At 42.4% G+C, this 21,743-nt stretch overlaps 1 protein-coding gene and 1 pseudogene across 4 annotated transcripts in view; one reads left to right on the top strand and one right to left on the bottom strand.

Moving 5' to 3' along the window:
- Positions 1-21,743, bottom strand: part of FAM168A (family with sequence similarity 168 member A) — a 197,626-nt gene that overhangs the window by 170,832 nt on the left and 5,051 nt on the right. The window contains exon 1 of one of the 4 annotated variants that reach the window (XM_047426650.1): positions 1,790-10,445. The exons of the other annotated variants lie outside the window; for them this stretch is intronic. The gene's annotated coding sequence lies outside the window, so the exon portion shown is untranslated. Of the gene's footprint in view, positions 1-1,789; positions 10,446-21,743 lie in introns of those variants that run through there. 4 annotated transcript variants of the gene reach the window in all.
- On the top strand, positions 8,834-9,434 carry HMGN2P38 (high mobility group nucleosomal binding domain 2 pseudogene 38; annotated as a pseudogene).

Raw genomic sequence — 21,743 nt, forward strand, 5'->3', positions numbered from 1 at the left:
CCATCTCAGCTCACTGCAACCTCCCTGCCTGATTCCCCTGCCTCAGCCTGCCGAGTGCCTGCGATTGCAGGCGCGCGCCGCCATGCCTGACTGGTTTTCGTATTTTTTTGGTGGAGACGGGGTTTCGCTGTGTTGGCCGGGCTGGTCTCCAGCTCCTAACCGCGAGTGATCCGCCAGCCTCGGCCTCCTGAGGTGCCGGGATTGCAGACGGAGTCTCGTTCACTCAGTGCTCAATGGTGCCCAGGCTGGAGTGCAGTGGTGTGATCTCGGCTCGCTACAACCTCCACCTCCCAGCCGCCTGCCTTGGCCTCCCAAAGTGCAGAGATTGCAGCCTCTGCCCACCACCACTCCGTCTGGGAAGTGAGGAGCGTCTCTGCCTGGCCGCCCATCGTCTGGGATGTGAGGAGCCCCTCTGCCTGGCTGCCCAGTCTGGAAAGTGAGGAGCATCTCTGCCCGGCCGCCATCCACCTAGGAAGTGAGGAGTGCCTCTTCCCGGCCGCCATCCCATCTAGGAAGTGAGGAGCGTCTCTGCCTGGCCACCCATCGTCTGAGATGTGGGGAGCGCCCCTGCCCCACCGCCCCACCGCCCCGTCTGGGATGTGAGGAGCGCCTCTGCCCAGCCACGACCCCGTCTGGGAGGTGAGGAGCGTCTCTGCCCAGCCGCCCCGTCTGAGAAGTGAGGAGACCCTCCGCCTGGCAGCCGCCCCATCTGAGAAGTGAGGAGCCCCTCCGCCCGGCAGCCACCCCGTCTGGGAAGTGAGGAGCCCCTCCGCCCGGCAGCCACCCCGTCTGGGAAGTGAGGAGCGTTTCCGCCCGGCAGCCACCCCGTCCGGGAGGGAGGTGGGGGTCAGCCCCTGCCCGGCCAGCCGCCCCGTCCGGGAGGGAGGTCAGGGGTCAGCCCCCGCCCGGCCAGCCGCCCCGTCCGGGAGGGAGGTGGGGGGTCAGCCCCCGCCCGGCCAGCCGCCCCGTCCAGGAGGTGAGGGGCGCCTCTGCCTGGCCGCCCCTACTGGGAAGTGAGGAGCCCCTCTGCCCAGCTACCACCCCGTCTGGGAGGTGTACCCAACAGCTCATTGAGAACGGGCCATGATGACAATGGCGGTTTTGTGGAATAGAAAAGGGGGAAAGGTGGGGAAAAGATTGAGAAATCGGATGGTTGCTGTGTCTGTGTAGAAAGAAGTAGACATGGGAGACTTTTCATTTTGTTCTGTACTAAGAAAAATTCTTCTGCCTTGGGATCCTGTTGATCTATGACCTTACCCCCAACCCTGTGCTCTCTGAAACATGTGCTGTGTCCACTCAGGGTTAAATGGATTAAGGGCGGTGCAAGATGTGCTTTGTTAAACAGATGCTTGAAGGCAGCATGCTCGTTAAGAGTCATCACCACTCCCTAATCTCAAGTACCCAGGGACACAAACACTGCGGAAGGCCACAGGGTCCTCTGCCTAGGAAAACCAGAGACCTTTGTTCACTTGTTTATCTGCTGACCTTCCTTCCACTATTGTCCTATGACCCTGCCAAATCCCCCTCTGTGAGAAACACCCAAGAATGATCAATAAAATAAATAAATAAATAAATAATTAATTAAACACACTGAAAATTTAGGTTGATGTTCCACTTAGGAAAAATTTCATCCACATTACTGAAATGCTGTAAACAGAATCAATTTTCAGGTAAGAGATAATCTGAATAAGCCTCCATAAAATTAAGCATTCTAGCCGGTGGAAGCAGATCCCCCATTTGCCAGCCACCATCTGCACCTCTTTAAATGAAGATACATCAATGTGCTCACCTGAGAGACACCACTGGATTCATGCACAATAATCGCAAGACGCACTTGGAACTTTCCCCTAAAAATGGACACACTTAACTGTTAGAAGGTAGAAAGAGGAATGAAAAAAAATCTATTTTAACTTCTGTACATACTCCTAGAAGGCTTAAAACCAGGATTTCAACTTGAGTGTCATCATGACGGAAGCTACAGTTGTTACCTCTATCCCTATTCCTCAACAGTTCTCCACACACTACCCTGTGTCCTAAGTTTTTCTAATCAAGGAGCCTCCCACTTCCTTGTTCTAGGGATCAAGATTAGACCAAGATCCAAATCTCAAGTCTAAGCTCTTCTCTAAGTCCTCTGGGCCTGCCTCACAGTAGTACCACACCCCATTTTCTCATTTCCACTATGCAGTTACATTCACTCAATACTTTATCTACCCAGAACATCATTCTGGCCTCTTTTCTTCTGCTGTCCCCAAGGACTACCATAATAAAACTCATCAAAATGTCTTTATATAGTTCAAGGGAAATTTTAAATTTGCCTCTTAAAATAGCAGTGAATTCCGACGGGGCACAGTGGCTCATGCCCGTAATCCCAGCACTTTGGGAGGCCAAGACAGGAGGTTGGCTGGAAGACAGGAGGTTGGCTGGAGGACAGGAGTTCGAAACCAGTCTGGGCAACATAGAGACCCTGTCTCTACAAAAAATTCAAGAATGAGCCAGGCATGGTGGTACATGCCTATAATCCCAGCTACTCAGGATACTGAGGTGAGAGGATCACTATGTCCAGGAGTTCCACGCTGCAGTAAGCTATGAGCGGGACTCTGCACTCCAGCCTGGGTGACAGAGCAAGATTCGTCTCAAAATACCAAGGGGCAGGGGTGGGGGCAGGGCATGGCGTTGCACACCTGTGGTCCCAGCTACTCAGGAGGCGAGGCAGGGGGATCACTAAGCCCAGGAGGTGGAGGCAACAGTGAGCCATGAGCCCACCACTGTACTCCAGCCTGGGTGACAGAGCAAGACCCTGTCTCAAAAAAAAAAGTAATTAATTCTCTAAGCCCCACTTAATACTAATTATGAATGTCACATAATAGTTACTATCTTGGCTGGCATTTTTCCAATTTAAAAGGCATTTTCACATTCATTATCTCATTTGATCTTCACAACAGATGGGAAAGTTGGCTATTATTATCTCTATCCCAAGTTTCAAACAGAGAAAGTCAGTTGTCCCATGAAACTTAGCTAGTAAACAGCAATGCTGGACCTCCCACCAAGTTTGTATAATCACAAATCCAATGCCCTTTCCACATATGCACTCACTCTCTTGACCAAGAGAGTATAAAAAAATACATCATCTATCTAACTGCCCCTTAAACAAATTACCTAGATGGAACAGCAAGTTCCTGGAGAAAAATCAGCTCTATTAGTTTAACAGCATCACATGAAAATATAACATAATGGCACTTGAAGTTGGCCATCTTTTTTTCTGAGATGGAGTTTCCCTCTTGTCGCCCAAGCTGGAGTGCGATGACATGATCTTGGCTCACTGCAACCTCTGCCTTCCAGGTTCAAGTGATTCTCCTGCCTCAGCCTCCCAAGTAGCTGGGATGTGCCACTACACCTGGCATTTTTTTTTTTTTTTTTTTTTTTTTAGTAGAGAAAAGGTTTCACCATTTTGGCCAGGCTAGTCTCAAACTCCTGACCTCCAGTGACCCGCTCATCTCAGCCTCCCAAAGTGCTGGGATTACAGGTGTGAGCCACCGTGCCCATCCGATGTTGGCCATCTTTTAATAAATCCTGAGGCCAATGATGAAAGCACCAAATTATCCCCTGATACTCTACTAGCAGTAGCATTACTCAATAAAGGAAACCAACATATTACAGTCATATACTAGACCCCACCACATACATTAACCCTAACATCCCTGTAAAGTGTGTATCATATCCCTATTTTGCAGATGAGCAAAATAAGGCTCATACAAGAGTAAGGGTTATCCAATGATGGTCAAAAGGTTTATCCAAGATAACCCAATAAATGGCAGTGCCAAGATTTTGAAACCCAAGTCTGAGGCTATTTCCAGTGACTACGCCATGCTTTGGAGCCTTTTAAAGAATTCTTAAAACAGGATTATGCCTAGAAGTCCTTTAATTTTGGTGAGATAATCAAAATATTCCATGTATGTTACTGCTGTAAAACAAGATTAAATGACAGGAAGAACAATCAGATATATACATCTGATGATAGGTATTAATTCACATATAATATTATTTTTGAGCCAACTGCTGTAATATCTAACAGTTTAATTTCAACTTGAATGTATCTTCAGAATGTCTTACCCTGTAATTGAAAGCCTAGGATAAGCTTTGAATCTGGTAAACTGTCTGCCACTAATTAGCTGAATCCCTTAATTTAGTTACTAAACGTGTCTTAACTTTTTACATGGGTAACATGGAAACAATACCTACCTATCAGAGTTCTCATTAAGATTTAGAAATGGCCGGGTGTGGTGGCTCACACCTGTAATCCCAGCACTTTGGGAGGCTGAGGCAAGTGGATCACCTGAGGTCAGGAGTTTGAGACCAGCCTGGTCAACGTGGTGAAACCCTGTCTCTACTAAAACATAAAAATTAGCTGGGTGTAGTGGCAGGAACCTATACTCCCAGCTACTCGGGAGGCTGAGGCAGGACAATCACTTGAACCTGGGAGGTGGAGGTTGCAGTGAACCGAGATCGTGCCACTGCACTCCAGCCTGAGCAACAAGAGTCAAACTATGTCAAAAAAAAAAAAATTAGACATAATGTAAGTAAAACACCTATGGCAATGTCTAGCATGTGTAGCTATTATCAGCCTCTGCCCTCTGTGGATATTCCCTGCCAAAACATGCACATGAAAATTTAAAACTCAAACATAGGATATTCCAAATATAATGGGTTGTTTGGTGTCATGGAAAACAAATATTCAGATGAATTAAATTTCAATTTTCATCAAATATTTTGGTATTAGATAATTTTTTAAATCCCAGATAATCAAAACAAACCTGGGTATTTGCCTTGAATCCCTAAGCAGAGTTTCTTCTCCATTCAGAAGATCTTCTAGTTACCTAGTAACCACCTGCCATCCCCAAACTGAAAAAAACTGGCTCTGTTCTGGGCTAATTACCCAACCAGCATGAACAATCTAAATCGAAGTGTAGAATAAAGGGAATTGTCAGCCAGAATGTTAGCGAAATTATTCACAACAGGAGACCTGAGAATCCAAATACCACCGGGCAGTTATTTCCATGAGAATAAAATCACAATTTATGAACCCTGCAAATTATACCATTATTAAAACAAACATCCCATTGAGGCTACAGCCATCAGATAAATGGTTTTATTGTCCCCATTGTTTCATCTACTGCAGCAAAGAGGTGAAAACTGAATGAGCGGTTACCAGAAGCAGTAATTTCTAGGAAATTACAATGCAGACCTCCATCTTAAAGCTCCCTTTGTGTTGGAGTGTACAGGCTCTGGAAATGAAGACGGAAATGGGGAATCAACTGTTTTCTACATGCCCCCCAACTCAAAGATCCTGACAACTTTACAAGCAGAACTCACCAGTTTTCTCCACATCTTCCTATTTCTTTTCTTGCCCAGTAGTTCGATCCTGGGCTCACCCAGGAGGGAAGAATCTGAACTCAGCAAATCTACTTTATTCACTAGGGAACTTTTAGACAATCCTCCAACCCAAATAAACACAGAGAGACAAGAAAATGGCCCCTGGTTTCCCTGGCTCTCACAATACAAAGTATCTCTAGCTAGACAGAGCAATGAGAATTGATGAGAAAGTACAAAAGCAAAGCATAGGTGCCTCCCATTATTTAAAAAAAAAAAAAAAATTCCTTTGCAATAACTGCTAGCACCATAAAGCTCAAATGACATTTACAGACTTGAATGGGAAACCTGAGACACTACCTAACAGCTAACCTGTGCTGAACCGCATCACGGAATAGAGAAGGCAAAAGTCATCCCTTCAGGAATAGTTCAACGAATCCACAAATCTACCAATTTTGGAAATGGAAGGAATGAAGCTAGCGTCACTGGGCATCTGCTATATGCCAACTATGGTACACATATTATTTCTAATCCTCCCAACAACCCTCTGAGGTAGAACAGATATGCCTTATTAACAGGTGAGAATTTAAGGCTCAGAGAAATTAAATAACTTGTCCATGGTCACACAGCTACTTAACTAATATCTGAATTAAAGTTTCTCTGACTTTAAAATGGAAGCACTTTTAACCTTGAGCAAATAATTTCACAAATTATTTATCTGTTGTTATTTATTTTTGCCACTTTATTCTATTAGCAGAGCCCAATTTAAAATACTTATATTAAAAACCTGTAAGATATCAGATTTAAATGCTGCCTGATCCTTTTACAAAGTTCTGACACTGTGAGGCAGTCATGGGAGGATGCAGATGAACTATAACCTCATCATACAATTCACTTTCAGAATTCTCCTTTGATCCTCTCAACAAACTTCTGAGGTATGACTCCACCACCACCACTTCACACTGAGAAAACTGAGGCTCAGAAAGATTTTATGATTTGCCCAAGGCAGAATAGGAACTAAAACCCAGAACTCTGACTACAAACTCATTGCTTATGCAGCTTGATCACAATGCCAGACTTAAACATAGGCATAAAGAATGCAAAAACCTGCTGTGGAGATCTTTGCTTATTTTTGAAGAACATCTGTTCATAATTAATAGCATGTGTAACACTGGGCATGAGGGAGGGAAGGTAGGAGCAACAGAACGTCCCTTAGGGCCTTAAGCTGCCTAAATGTAAATTTTCCTGTTTCAAAAACACTGGAAGCCCATTCAGTGGAAGAGAACAGGAGCTCTAAGTGACAGAAATGCATTTTGGCACTCTGAACTCCTAAATGTACTCTAGACCACCAAGTGAAAGCTTGCTGGTAATACTGGCTTCCAGGGACTGAGGGCCTACTATGCAAGAGACATTATGCTAGGCTCTTTATACACATTAATCCTAATCTTCTCCAATGGTCCTTTGGGAAGATGGTAGAATCCCTGTTTCACAGACGATCAAACTACAGCTGAGAGGTGAACTGACTGAATCCTGATTGATCTGACCATTGTTTAATCTATAGTGATAGAAAAGCCGATAGGTGGTTGCTTAAATGGGGGGGATATGAGGAGAATGAGGAGGGAAAGACTTCAAAGGGGCACCAAGAAACTTGGGAGGTGATGGATATGTTCACCATCTGCTTTGTGGTGATGGTTTCATGGGTGTATATGTATGTCAAAACTTAGCAAATTGTACATAAAATTTGTATCACTTACTGTATGCCAATTTTACTTCAATGAAGCTGTTTAGGAGAAAATACACTCACACACAAACACACACACACAATTTTCTTTTTACTAACCACTGACTACCACCCCAGAATATCTGCCCTAAAACTGTCTGATCACAGGGAGGCCAGGCCAAAGATTTCTTTCCCTAACCAATTTAGTTTCAAGTTTATGTAAACGGTTAGTAAAACATCACTGAAAGTTTTAAATACCCAAGAATAACAAATTACTTCCAAGCACTCTACAGCATTTCAGAATACGTTTCCATACAAATGAAATGTTAATTACAAAATGTAGCCTGGTAAAAGAATAAACAGTAAAGTCTTTGGCATCACACAAACCTGGATTGAATCCCATCCTTGCCTCTTACTATGAATCTAATCAGGTTTCTAAATCTGTATTCACCTTCTCATTTATAAAATGAAAGTGACAATAGCAATGCTATCCATCTTAGTCAGCTCAGGCTGCTGTGTACATAACAGAATACCACAAACATTTATTTTTCACAGGTCTGGAGGCTGGGAAGTCCAAGATCAAGGTACTAGCAGATCTGGTGTCTGGTGACAGTCAGCTTCCTGGTTTGCAGATGGCCCTCTTCTCACTGTATCCTCACATAGTGGAAAGCAGAGAGAGAGGAAGTAAGCTCTCTGGTGTCTCTTCTTATACAGGCACTTATAGAGCTCCATCCTAATGACCTAATTACTTCCCAAAAATCCCACCCCAAACATCACACTGAGGATTAGGGTTTCAACATATGAATTTTGGTGGGATACACTCAGTCCATAGCACTACCATTTTCTGAAATCATACTATGTGCCAAACACTGAACTAAGCACTTTAGTTACTTCCTAACAATTATATAATGTAAATACCATTATGTCTCCATCTAATGGATAGAGAAAATAAGTTATAGAAAGATTAAGTAACTATATAATATAAATGCCATTAATTCTCCACCTAATAGATGGAGAAAATAAGTTATAGAAAGATTAAGTAACTTTGAAGGTCACACTGCAAGGAAGTACAATAGCTGAGATTTAAACTCACCTTACAAAATTATTGAGGAATAACTGGAAGAAGGAGGTAAAATATCATCAGTGTCAGTAAAGCATAAATAACAGAATTCCCCCCACCCACCATTTAGAGCAAGTTTCTCTAAAGAAATGTAATTAAATGGAAATTTGTTTAATATTCCATAAATTAACTTTTAACTGATAAAAGCTAGTGGTAAGCAATTTATCCAGTTTATTCCTAATTCACAGTCTACAAAGTAACTATTATTTTTCTCCTTTACTGATGGAGAAAATGAAACTCTGAAATGTTAAATAACCTTCAGCAGCACAGACATAAGTTGCATCACTTGGATGCAAGCATAAGTCTTCTGACAAGAAATGAGGCTCTTTCTAGTTCAGCTGGTTGCTATCCAAGCCACTCAGAAGCAAACTCAATAATTTTTCAGATACCATTCATTTAGGTACCTTAAGCAGTATCTTGTACAATAGCACAGAATCAAAGTTTCATGGATCTGAACTTTAAAATATTTGCCTTGATACATGTTTATAGTGTTAGCACTTCATAAATGATGTCTACACACTAATATACTCAATATTTTCCTCACTTATTTCTGGTTTGGGTAAGAAAACTGATGCTACAATCTGTCAAAATATAATTGTCAATGAATAAGTAAAAAACAAAAACCAGAAGAAGAGGTGAGAACGACCCCCAGACCAACCAAAGCCTGTGCTCCGCTGCATCCCACGCCCAGTGCCTACGTCCCGCTGCCGTCACTGTCGCCGCCACCATGCCCAAGAAAGGCTGAAGGGGATGCTAAAGGAGATAAAGCCAAGGTGAAGGATGAACCACAGAGAAGATCCACAAGGTTGTCTGCTAAACCTGCTCCTCCAAAGATAGAGCCCAGGCCAAAAAAGCCCCTGCAAAGAAGGGAGAGAAGGTACCCAAAGGGAAAAAGGGAAAAGCTGAGGCTGGCCAGGATGGGGATAACCCTACAGAAAATGGAGATGCCAAAACAGACCAGGGACAGAAAGCTGAAGGTGCTGGAGATGCCAAGCGAAGTGTGTGCATTTTTAATAACCATGTACTTCTGGTGACTGTACAGTTTGAAATACTATTTTTAATCAAGTTTTATAAAAATGCAGAATTTTGTTTTACTTTTTTAAGCTATGTTGTTAGCACACAGAACATGTCCTTGTTGTTTTGAGAGGAAGGGGCTTATGTCACTAATAAAATGTCTCCAAAGCTGGATTGATGTGGGGAAAACACCTTTCCCTTCCAGTTTTGAGAGACTTCCTCTTGGCTCCCAGGAGCAGGGATTCCCTGACTTTGACACACATGGCCACCTTGGCACAAAAGCTTTGTGGTATGGAAAAACAAATTTGTTTTTATGTCCTCTTCTCCCTTTCTACCTTTCAGCTAGACTTAACTCCCTTAAACCCAGACATCTGTTGGGACCTGACCCCTAATCATTGGTTACCAGTGTGTCAGGCAATCTGGACTTTCCAGTGATGCCACTGAGATGGCACCTGTCAAAAGAGCAGTGGTTCCGTTTCTAGATTGTGGATCTTCAGGTAAATTCTGTCACTTTCACTTCACTTCCTGAAAGTCAGGGTCAGCTTATGAAAAGTTGTTAAACAACATGCTAAATGTGAAATGTCAACCCTCACTCTAAACTTTCCCTGTTCAGAGCATCAGATGAAGACTTCATTGGGTTTTATAGTGGCTTTCTGATTTTTGGTAGGCCATTAAAGAAGGGAGTTTGAAAGTTGTTGTATACTGTTAACGATTGTCTGCACATGTCCTGTCTGAAATGCCATGATTGTTTACGGACAGTATCTTTAATAAAGCTGGATACAGTTTGGCTTGGAAAAAAACAGAATATAATACTTGTATACCACATTTATGAGCTAAAAAACAGAATACTTGTATATCACATTTATGAGCTTCTTTCAAATGTATTGAATTTCAAAGGTGGATATAGATATGACTGTCCCCACTTTACATGGGAAAAAACTGAGATTCACAGAGTACTTAAACAACCTGTCCAAGTCAGACAGCTAGTAAGTGGCTAAGCTGGGGTTCAAATTCAGTTCTTCTGACTCCATGTCCAGAATTGTCCACACATAAGACCTAGTCTTCTTTCAAAAATAAGCTCAGGTTACTCTTCCTCCAAGAACTCTTCCCTAAAAAAAGGTTTGAATACCCTGTCTCTGCTACTTATTTTATAACATCTATAACATTGAACTGTAACTTGGTTTTTGTTTTTTTTTTGAGATGGAGTCTCCCTCTATTGCCCAGGCTGGAGTGCAGTGGCGCAATCTCGCCTCGCTGCAAACTCTGCCTCCCGGGTTCAAGCGATTATCCTGCCTCAGCCTCCTGAGTAGCTGGGACTACAGGCATGCGCCACCATGCCCAGCTAATTTTTGTATTTTTAGTAGAGACGAGGTTTCACCACGTTGGCCAGGATGGTCTCAAACTCCTGACCTTGTGATCCGCCCACCTCGGCCTCCCAAAGTGCTGGGATTACAGGCATGAGCCACCGCACCCAGCCAACTTATTTGTTTATACCTTGTCTCTATTGCATCTGGAGCTCCTTGAAGACAGCAACTACACCTTACTCATCTCCGTGTATCATCAAAACCAACCTAACATAGAGGCTGATATCCATGTTGACTAAAATAATGCATAGATGCATAAGTGATTATTTTTGCTTGCTACAAAGACTCTAATCAGCAAAATATTTTGGGGAATCCTAATTAAAATTGCCTGCCAGAGGCCGGGCACCGTGACTCATGCCTGTAATCCCAGCACTTTGGGAGGCCAAGGTGGGTGGATCACGAGGTCAGGAGATCGATACCATCCCGGCTAACACAGTGAAACCCCATCTCTACTAAAAATACAAAAAAAATTAGCCAGGCGTGGAGGCACACACCTGTAGTCCCAGCTACTCGGGAGGCTGAGGCAGGAGATTGGCATGAACCCAGGAGGCGGAGCTTGCAGTGAGTCGAGATGGTGCCATTGCACTCCAGCCTGGGGAAAAAAAAAATTGCCTGCCAGAAACTACTAATGGCTTAATAGGGTAATTAAAAACCCACATTTCTTAAAGTCTCAATCTTTCTACCATCAAATAGTTAAGTCAAGTCTTATATTTCAGTTGTAAAAATCAAATACACAAGCATTTGATACAATTTGGTTTTATAGCATTCATTTTATATTATCTACAAATTAAAACTGACCAAAGGTTAATAAAGAGGAAACTTTGAAGCAGAAAAAAGAACTCTAGACTGAGTCAGAAAAGCAATCATAAGGTCCCGTCTTCTCCATTTACCAATGTGATCTGCATTCATTCCAAGTGAGATTCCAGGGATCCGTCATAAATCAAGTTCTTTCTGAGTCTCATTGTGTCTACTGTGTACACAGCTCCACTGACCCAGCTATGGGCAAAGAGTAAAGGAAAGCTACATGAGAGTGGGCTAAAGTAGAGTAGAGACAACACAACGGGCAGGGAGCAAGGGGCAACAACAATGATAGAAGACACTCTATTAAAACTCAGCCCAGGCCAGGTGCAATGGCTCATGCCTATAGTCCCAGCACCTTGGGAGGCCAAGGCAGGCGGATCACGAGGTCAGGAGATCAAGACCATCCTGGCTAAAAGAGTGAAACCCCGTCTTTACTAAAAATACAAAAATTAGTTGGGCATGGTGGTGCATACCTGTAATCCCAGCTACTCGGGAGGCTGAGGCAGGAGAATTACTTGAACCCAGGAGGCAGAGGATGCAGTGAGCCGAGATCACGCCACTGCACTCCAGCCTGGGTGACAGAGCAAGACTCTGTCTCAAAAACAAAAACAAACAAACAAAAAAAACTCAGCCCAGAGCAACATGGAGTAACTGACTCATTGGGAAATTACAGCTGTTAATAGGCCAGTTTGAAATGATGGATTCACCTGACATGTCTTTACTGATGCTTATTCTGTACAAGGTCCCAAGATGGGCTCTGAGAATAAAAGGATGATCAGATACAACTCCTGTCCACTGCAAGTGGAAGAGACCAACAAATAATAAATGGATAACCACAATCAGAGTAACCCAGAGATGGGGTACCCAATCCCAACCTAGGAAATCACGGAAAACCTTCTGGAAAAGGTTATCTCCTAGGCTGAGTCTTAAAGGCTAAGTCAGAGTAGACCAATTAAGAGTAACAAAGAGATATCTAGGCCAAGAGAACAGCACGTGCAAAGACAGTGAGAAAAGAGGCACTGCACATCTGAAGAACTGCAGACATAGTACAATGCAAACTTCAGGAGTACTGGAGGTAAAACGCACAAGCCAGGAGGAGAGACAATAAATGACAATGGTGAAGAAGTTGGGGAGAGGATCTTGAACTACCTCAGATACCATATTGGGAAACCTGGACCTCATCTCAAAGGTTTTAAGTCAAGAGTTTAACACTAACTCCTATCTAGGAGACAGTGTCCCTACAATGACACTTGGTTGAAGGGCAGGCTTTCAGGCATGCTCATTTTAAAGGGTGTTGGTTTTTCCCTTCATAATTATACAGCCTGATCAAAATGTAAGTAAACACAGAAATATATTTTTAAAAACACTCCTTTGCTTCTGGGGCAGGGGATTATGGAGAAATACTGTACCTCCTCAATGATGATTGATCTAGTCAGAAAAAATTTAGAAAGGGGTGTTTTTTACATTCACTGACTTTTTTTTTTTTGAGACATTGTCTCACTCTGTCACCCAGGTTGGAGTGCAATGGCATGATCAGTGCTCCCTGCAGCCTCGACCTCCTGGGCCCAAGCGATCCTCCCACCTCAGCCTCCCGAGTAGCTGGGACCACAGGCATGTGCCATCACTCCCAGCTAATTTATTTTTATTTTTTTGTAGAGATGTTGCCCAGGCTGGTCTCAAACTCCTAGTCTCAAGTGATCCTCCTGCCTTGGCTTCCAGAAGTGCTGGGATCACAGGTGTGAGCCACCATGGCTGGCCCACTGACTTTTTTTTTTTTTTTTTTTTTTGAGACGGAGTCTTGCTCCGTCACCCAGGCTGGAGTGCAGTGGCGCAATCTCGGCTCACTGCAAGCATCGCCTCCCGGGTTCACGCCATTCTCCCACCTCAGCCTCCGGAATAGCCGGGACTACAGGCGCCCGCCACCATGCCCGGCTAATTTTGTTTTTGTATTTTTAGTAGAGACAGGGTTTCACCGTGTTAGCCAGGATGGTCTTGATCTCCTGACCTCGTGATCCGCCCGCCTCAGCCTCCCAAAGTGCTGGGATTACACGCGTGAGCCACCATGCCCAGTCCACTGACATTTTTAATTGAGAAAAAACTATCAACCTCAGTGAACTCTCCAGAACAATCCAATCTGTTTCAACCAAAAACCACAAAGTTTAAAAAGATGATAGAGTCCGAGCACTCTGGGAAACCAAGGCAGCAGAGGATTGCTTGAGGCCAACAGTTCAAGACCAGCCTGGGCAACATAACGAGACTTCATCTCTACCAAAAAAAAAAAAGAATGATGGAGAGTCAAAGGTCATACCATACCTCCACTGGTTCACCAAGAAATCCAGGCAAATAGCCAAAGTTTGATCTCTGTTGCAAGAAGAGACCAAGTAAGCTACAACCAGAAAATAGGTCCCAAAATACAGAAACCAATAAAGTCAGCGCTTAATTTCTCTAATAAAGGTGTTTTAAAAGACAAAACATTATTCCTTCTTCATATACTGAAAGTCACAATAAATTCCATACTTCTACTCTAGAAAGATAACATTAATAACAGCTACCATTTGTTAAGTAATTAATATTTGCCAAGCACTGTAGTAAGTTCTTTATGAATTATCTCATTCAATCCTCACAACTACATAGGAATTATGTACTATTATTACTACACTTCCCTTTTAAAGGTTACAAAAATGAAACACAGAAAAGTGTAGTAACATACCCAAGGTCTCATAGCTATTAAGAGAGTAAGCCAGAACAAAGTAGATGCAGTATGTATTTCTAAAGAGATAATTAACAATCTAGGGAAAATTCATCCCATTAAATTTCTTAGACTACTAAATATCCAAATTATTTAAATAGTTTTACATTTATCATCAAGAAGACTGACCCTGGCCAGGCGTAGTGGCTCACGCCTGTAACTCCAACACTTTGGGAGGCCAAGGCAGGAGGATCACCTAAGGTCAGGAGTTTGAGACCAGCTTGGACAACATGGTGAAACCCCACCACTACCAAAAATACAAAAATTACCTGAGCATGGTGGCACGCGCCCGTAAACCCAGCTACTCAGGAGGCTGAGCCAGGAGAATCACTGGAACCAGGGAGGCAGAGGCTGCAGTGAGCCAAGATCATGCCACTGCACTCCACCCTGGGTGACAAAGTAAGACTCCATCTCAAACAAAAAAAAAAAAAAAAAAAAAAGAGATTGACCCTTTCCCCATAGCAACAAATGGTGACCAGATCCTAGTGTGCAAAACCACTGCATTACTCTATACTTTGTAGTACCAACATGCACATTAGCTCAGAGTGGGTGAGTTATATCCTGCTCTGTAAAAACTGGTTCACTCACTTAGCACTGGCTCAATCACTCCACAAAAATGTACTAAGCCCCTGCTAAGTTCCAAGTATCAGGGATATACAAATAATCAGTGAGACACTGTCTCTGGAAGCCAGCATGTCACATAGGAAAAAGCACTCATAGGTTTTGGAGGCAGAAAAGTCTGGGGATTAAATCCCACCCTAGTCACTTATTGGCTGATGGGCCTGCATAGGCTCAACATCTCTGAGCCTCTGTTTTCTTACACATAAAATAATTATGACCACCACAGCAGGGTGCAATGACATACACCTGTAGTCCCAGCCATGCAGGAGGCTGAGGCAGGATGATCACTTGAGTCCAGGAGTTCAAGACCAGCCTGGGCAATATAGCAAGACCCCATCTCAAGAAAAATAAAAAATCATCATCATCATCTTTTTAAATGTCTAAAACTAAAAAATATGGCCACATACACACAGAAAAATTGTCAGGTTTAAGTAAGATAAGAGGGCCTAGCACAATGTCGGTACACAATGAATGTTAATTTCCCACCCCCAGAACAAAGGTTCCAGGCTATACAGGGGTGTTAACTGGAAGATAAAATAATGTTTAGCACTATGACTTGTCTAGACTACTTCTTTCTCCATTCTCCTCTGTCCAATCACAGTGAAAAACCAAAGTCATTATACAAGATTATTTGCCTATGGCTACATCTGTACCTTTGTCTTTTTCTACTGCAAATGTACCAGGCTAAGGGTAGGGAGACCTAATATACCTTAAAAACCACTCTTATGCATAGCTATGGATAGTTCTCTAAAAGCCATTTCACACCTTTCCTTAACCACAAAGTGGAGAAAAGTAAGCACCAAGCCCAATTAATTTTCTAACATCCTGACAAAATTGTGAAACTGTTCAACTCTAAAGTTTTTTTATTCTACTAAGGCAAAGAAAAAATTGCATTCACATTGGCTTTCAAAACAGTATTTTTAGTAAAGGTTTGACAACATCAGCCATTCCCCCAATAAGAAATAAGTAAAGCCTAGAAACATAATAATATCAACAAATAAAAATACGTCATTTTATACTGAATCAAGGCAGTGACACCAAACTGTAATAGTGTCATTGCATTCTTCATGGACATGTTAAAAAAAAAAAAAAAAAAAAAAAAAACTAAGTTTCAGTTTCATTAAAGAATGTTCTTGCCAGACGCAATGGCTCACACCTGTAATCCCAGAACTTTGGGAGGCCGAGGTGGGCGGATCACCTGAGGTCAGGAGTTCGAGACCAGCCTGGCTAACATGGCAAAAACCCCGTTTCTACTAAAAATACAAAAATTAGCCGGGCATGGTTTCGGGCACCTGTAATGGCAGCTACTTGGATGGCTGAGGCAGGAGAATTGCTTGAACCCAGGAAGCGGAGGTTGCAGTGAGCCCAGATCGCACCACTGCACTCCAGCTGAGGTGACAAAGCGAGACTCCGTCTCAAAAAAAAAAAAAAAGGAATCTTCTGGAAGTCGTAAAAACTATTAATTTTACCCAGGCACAGTGGTGCAGAGCTGTAGTTCCAGCTACTAGAGAAGCTGAGGCAGGAGGAGCACTTGGTGCCAGGAGTTCAAGACCAGTCTGGGCAACACAGCAAAACTCCATCTCAAAAAAAAGTATTAATTTTACTAAATCTTAATCCTTAATTATACATCTGTTTCATATTCTATGTGAAGAAATGGAAAAATGGAATGTACATTTAAAGCATTTTTTTTTTTGAGATGGAGTCTAGTTCTGTCGCCCAGGCTGGAGGGCAGTGGCGCAATCTCGGATCACTGCAACCTCTGCCTCTCTAGTTCAAGAGATTCTTCTGCCTCAGCCTCCCAAGTAGCTGGGATTACAGGTGTGTGCCACCACGCCCAGCAAATTTTTGTATTTTTAGTAGAGATGGGGTTTCACCATGTTAGCCAGGCTAGTCTCAAACTCCTGACCTCAGGTGATCCACCCACCTCGGCCTCCCAAAGTGCTGGGATTACAGACGTGAGCCACCGCACCGAGCCTCACATAAAGCATTTCTGCTGCATATTAAGGTACAAGAATTGTCTCAAAGAAAAGCACTAAAGCACTTGTGCAATTGAGTTGCAAACTGTACTGGCTGCTTTAATAAACACCATTTTTACTTGAAAAAACGACTGGCAGAAAAACTATGATTATTCAGACTTGGATGTTTGGCAGACAATTTTTTGAAAATGAACAATGTGAGACTGTCACTTCAACGAAAACAACTGTCAGTATTGGTTGCCTATGATAAAATTTGAGCTTTCAAATGAAAATTAGAAAAGATTTGTCTGATGAGATGAGTGGTGATATTAACAAATGTGGGTTCTTAAACATTATACAGTTCAGAAGATCTGCACATGGCCAGGTGCGGTGGCCCACATCTGTAATTCCAGCACTTTGGGAGGCTGGGTCAGGGGTATCACTTGAGCCCAGGAGTTGGAGACCAGCCTGGGCAACACAGTGAAATCCCGTCTCTATGAAAAACTACAAAAATTAGCAAGACACGGTGGCCTGCACCTGAAGTCTCAGCTACACGGGAGGCTGAGGTGGCAGGATTACATGACCACGTGAGCCCAGGAAGTTGAGGCCAAAGTGAGTCGTGAATGCACCACTGCACTCCAGTGTGAAACCCGGTCTCAAAAAAGATGCTCCACAATAACTCAATAATATAGACTGAACTGCCTCCCCTCAAAATTCATAAATTGAAGCCCTATTCCTCAATGTGATAGTATCTGGAAACACATCCTTTGGGAGATAATTAGGTTTAGATGATTTATAATTAGGTTTAGATTAGGTCATGAGGGTGGGGCTGCCATGATGGAATGAGTGCCTTCAAAAAGAGACACCAGAGAGCTTGCCTGTCCACTCGCACTTATTCTTTCTCTCTCTTCTCCCTCTCCAATCCACCATGTGAGGAAACATCGAGAAGATGGCCATCTAGATGCCAGTAAGAGAGCCCTAACCAAAAACTAACCATGCTGGAACACTGATCTTGGACTTCTTTCTAGCCTGCAACACTGCGAAAAAATAAATTTTTGTTGTTTAAACCACCCAGTCTATGGCATTTTGGTATGGCAGCCAGAGCAGACTAAGATATTCAGTGAACCAATATTTTCCAAATGACCAACGCATAATGCTACAAAAATTATGCACGGGTAAAAGATCTAACAAAGTACGAACAGACCAATGGTTTTTCTTGGAGAAATAAGCAAATTAAAAAATAATAAAGAAAAAAACAGACCAATGGATTTTAATGTAACAGAGCATGAAAAGCTCAGTGATATGGTTCAGACTGTACAAGGCAATGAACCTTAACAAACTACCAATTGTCAAGTTTTGGTGTAACATGGGCGTCCAACCTTTTGGTTTCCCTGGGCTACACTGGAAGAAAAATTGACTTGGGCTTCACATAAAATACACCAACACTAACGATAGCTGATAAGCTGAAAAAAAAAAAAAAAGAAAAAAAAAGTGTGTATAATTTTCATGATATCCACTACAGATAAGCAAAAAAGTCCTCACATTCAAAGGGCTGGACATGACTGGTGTAGTATCAAAGAGGAATATCCACAATTATATAAAAACATTCCTCCTTTCGGCTGGGCACGGTGGCTCACGCCTGTAATCCCAACACTTTGGGAGGCCAAGGTGGGTGGATCATGAGGTCAGGAGTTCAAGACCAGCCTGGGCAAGATGCTGAAACCCTGTCTCTACTAAAAATACAAAAATTAGCTGGGCGTGGTGGCGCACGCCTGTAGTCCCAGCTATTTGGGAGGCTGAGGCAGGAGAATCACTTGAACCCAGGAGGCGGAGGTTGCAGTGAGCCGAGATCCTGCCATTGCACTCCAGCCTGGGCGACAAGAGTGAAACTCCGTCTAAAAAGAAAAAGAAAATTCCTCCTTTGTGGGACTGGATTTTCTTTATATTCCATGCAAAACAACAAACTGCAACAGACTGAATACTGAGGCAGATCCAATAAGATACTAAAGAGATTGTTTTAAATGTAAAATATTATTCTAATTTTTTACATTTAGAATAATATACTTATTTTCATTAGAATATGCTAACACAGCTGAAGGCAGTGGCTCATGCCTGTAATCCCAGTACTTTGGGAGGCTGAGGCAGGAGAATTGCTTGAGCCTAGGAGTTCAAGACCAGCCTGGGCAACTGAGCAAGATCCTGTCTCTACAAAAAAAATTTTAAAATAACCAGGCATGGTGGCACATGCCTGTAGTCCCAGCTACTTAGGAGGCTGAGGATGGAGGATCACTTCAGCCTAGTAGGTCAAGGCTGCAGTGAGCCATGACTGTGCCACTGCAAGCAAAAGTTCTTTGGAGTTGTCAATAAATATGAATGTGAAGACACCAAAATGTTTGAGAAACTGTTGCTACATAGCAATAAGCAAGAACACACTACACCTACATACAAGAATAAATGAGTCTCACAAATATATTATATATGAAAAGCCAGTCACACCTATGAAACGTCATAAACAGGCAAAAATAATCTACATTATTAGAAGTTGTTGGTTTCCTTGGAGGAGGAGATAATGTTCCCTTTCTTGATCCGAATGCTGGTTATACATTTTGTGCATTTTTTTCTACATGTTATACATACCTCAATATAATTTATTTTTAATTTATATTTTCCATATAAATATACACACATCTGCCTTATGCTCACCTACAGAAGTTTTGTTAACACTGGTCGAGAGTAGAACTGACACATATCTTTTTTTTTTAAACAGCTCCTCGGGTGATTCTAAAGAGTAGCCAGATACTACCTGTCTAAATAGGTTGAAGACTACTGATTAGGCTGGGTGCAGGCTCACGCCTGTAATCCCAGCACTTTGGGAGGCCGAGGCAGGCAGATCATCTGAGGTCAGGGGTTCAAGACCAGCCTGGCCAACATGGTGAAATCCCATCTCTACCAAAAATACAAACAATTAGCCGGGCATGGTGGCACGGGCCTGTGGTCCTAGCTACTCAAGAGGCTAAGGTAGAAGAATCACTTGAACCTGGGAGGAAGAGTTTGCAGTGAGCAGAGATCGTGCCACTGTACTCCAGGCCGGGAGACAAAGCGAGACTCTGTCTCAAAAAAAAAAAGAAGACTACTGATTTAACAGCTTAAAACCAGGAAGATTTATATGCAGTACAACAAAAAGAACAATGGCTCTGGAGCAAGGCAGATCAGGTTTTTAAATACGAGCTTTTCTTCTCTTACTAGCTATGTAAACAAATGCAAACTAGTTAATCACTATATGCCTCAGTTGCTTCAGTTTCTTCTTCTGTAAAATGATCACAATTCCTTATACGACACAAATATGAGGATTAAATTCTATCTATAAGGAAAAGAAAGCACCCAGCATACTGCCTGCCATAGACACTCAAATGTTAGGTACCTTTTGTCTTTCCCTGCTAATTCCCTACTTGTCTTATGGCCTAAGACAAATTACCCTCTTGAATCTTTTTATTCATTTATTTATTGAGATATAGTCTTGCCCAAGCTAGAGAGCAGAGGTATGATCATAGCTCACTGTAGCCTCAAATTCCTGGGCTCAAGTGATCCTCCCACCTCAGCCTCCAAAATAGCTATGAACAGAGGTGCACGCCACCACATCCAGATAATATTTTTGTTTTTTGTAGAGACTGGATCTCACTATGTTGATCAGATTGGTCTTGAACTCCTGGGCTCAAGCGATCTTCCCACCTTGGCCTCCCAAAATCCTGGGATTACAGGTGTGAGCCACTGCACCCAGCTACCCTCTTAGAGTCTTAATTTCTTCATCCTTAAAATGAAAATAATGCCACATGACCAACCTAAGAACTATATATAAAATGGCGCCATTATATTTGCATAAGTATAAATAGCATAGCTGTTATCTACTGATAGAGACATTTGCTATCAACTCAAAATAAAAGATAGAGGAAGACACATTAGAAAACTAAAATACTTAGAAAAATTATAAAACAGAGGCTAGAAAAGAAATACAAGTTAGCAGAAATCGTCAAGCTTGAGCGACATGATCAGAAGGCAAATCAAGATCATAATCTCAAGTAGCCAAGGATTGAAGTTTACTGTGAAAAATATATCATCTCAGGGTTCCTTCAAAATGTCTATATCTAAGAAAAAGCACAACCTATATCATCATAAAATAGGCATATTCTGAAAGGACCCAGACACCTGCCTAACTGGCAGGAGGAGGAGGTGTATTGGAACTTTATAAACTGAGGTTTTCTCAGAGTGTCTTCATACAGAAAATAATGGCTCATTTAATAAAATGTTAAACTTTTAGATAAACATAATTTGACAAAAAAATTCTATACCATTGTTTTCAATACTAAAGATATGCATAACTGTCCAAGGAAGTAAATTTAACAAAATAGAGAAAGAAATATGAACTTGGTTTAGTCTCTTTCCTCTTCAATATTTTACAACTTTGAGTTGATTTCTGTTAACGTACCAGGGGTCGGCCAGCTATGGCCCGCCCATGGCCTATTTTTGTATGGCCTGTGAGTTTTACATTCTTAAAACCACATAAAAGGAGGAGAAAGAGAAGGGGAGGGAGAAGAAGGAATGGGGAGAAGCAAGAGGAGGGGCTTCAGGAAGGAGAAGAACGGGGAGGGAGATGGGGAGACAAAAAGGAAGGGGAGTGGAAGGGAGGAGAAAGAACAACAGAGGCCATATGTGGCACAAAATATTTTCTACAAAAAGCATTTGCCAGCCAGGCATGGTGCCACATGCCTGCATTTGTAAGCACTTTGGGAGGCCGAGGAAGGAGGATCACTTGACCAGGACAACATAGCGAGACCCTGTCTCTACCAAAAAAAAAAAAAAGTGTTACTGGGTAATAGGACTAAAAACAATACTTATGCTTCTTTTTACTTTTTGTAATTTCTAGTTTTTATCATGAGCACACATTATTTAATGGTGGAAGAAATAAAGCTTTTTTAAAAGTTAAAAAATAAGAATAAGAATAAAGCAAGTCAGAAGAATATTTATCCTATAATTC

This window comes from Homo sapiens, chromosome 11 (assembly GCF_000001405.40).
Source record: "Homo sapiens chromosome 11, GRCh38.p14 Primary Assembly".
In the NCBI taxonomy this organism is placed as follows: domain Eukaryota; kingdom Metazoa; phylum Chordata; class Mammalia; order Primates; family Hominidae; genus Homo; species Homo sapiens.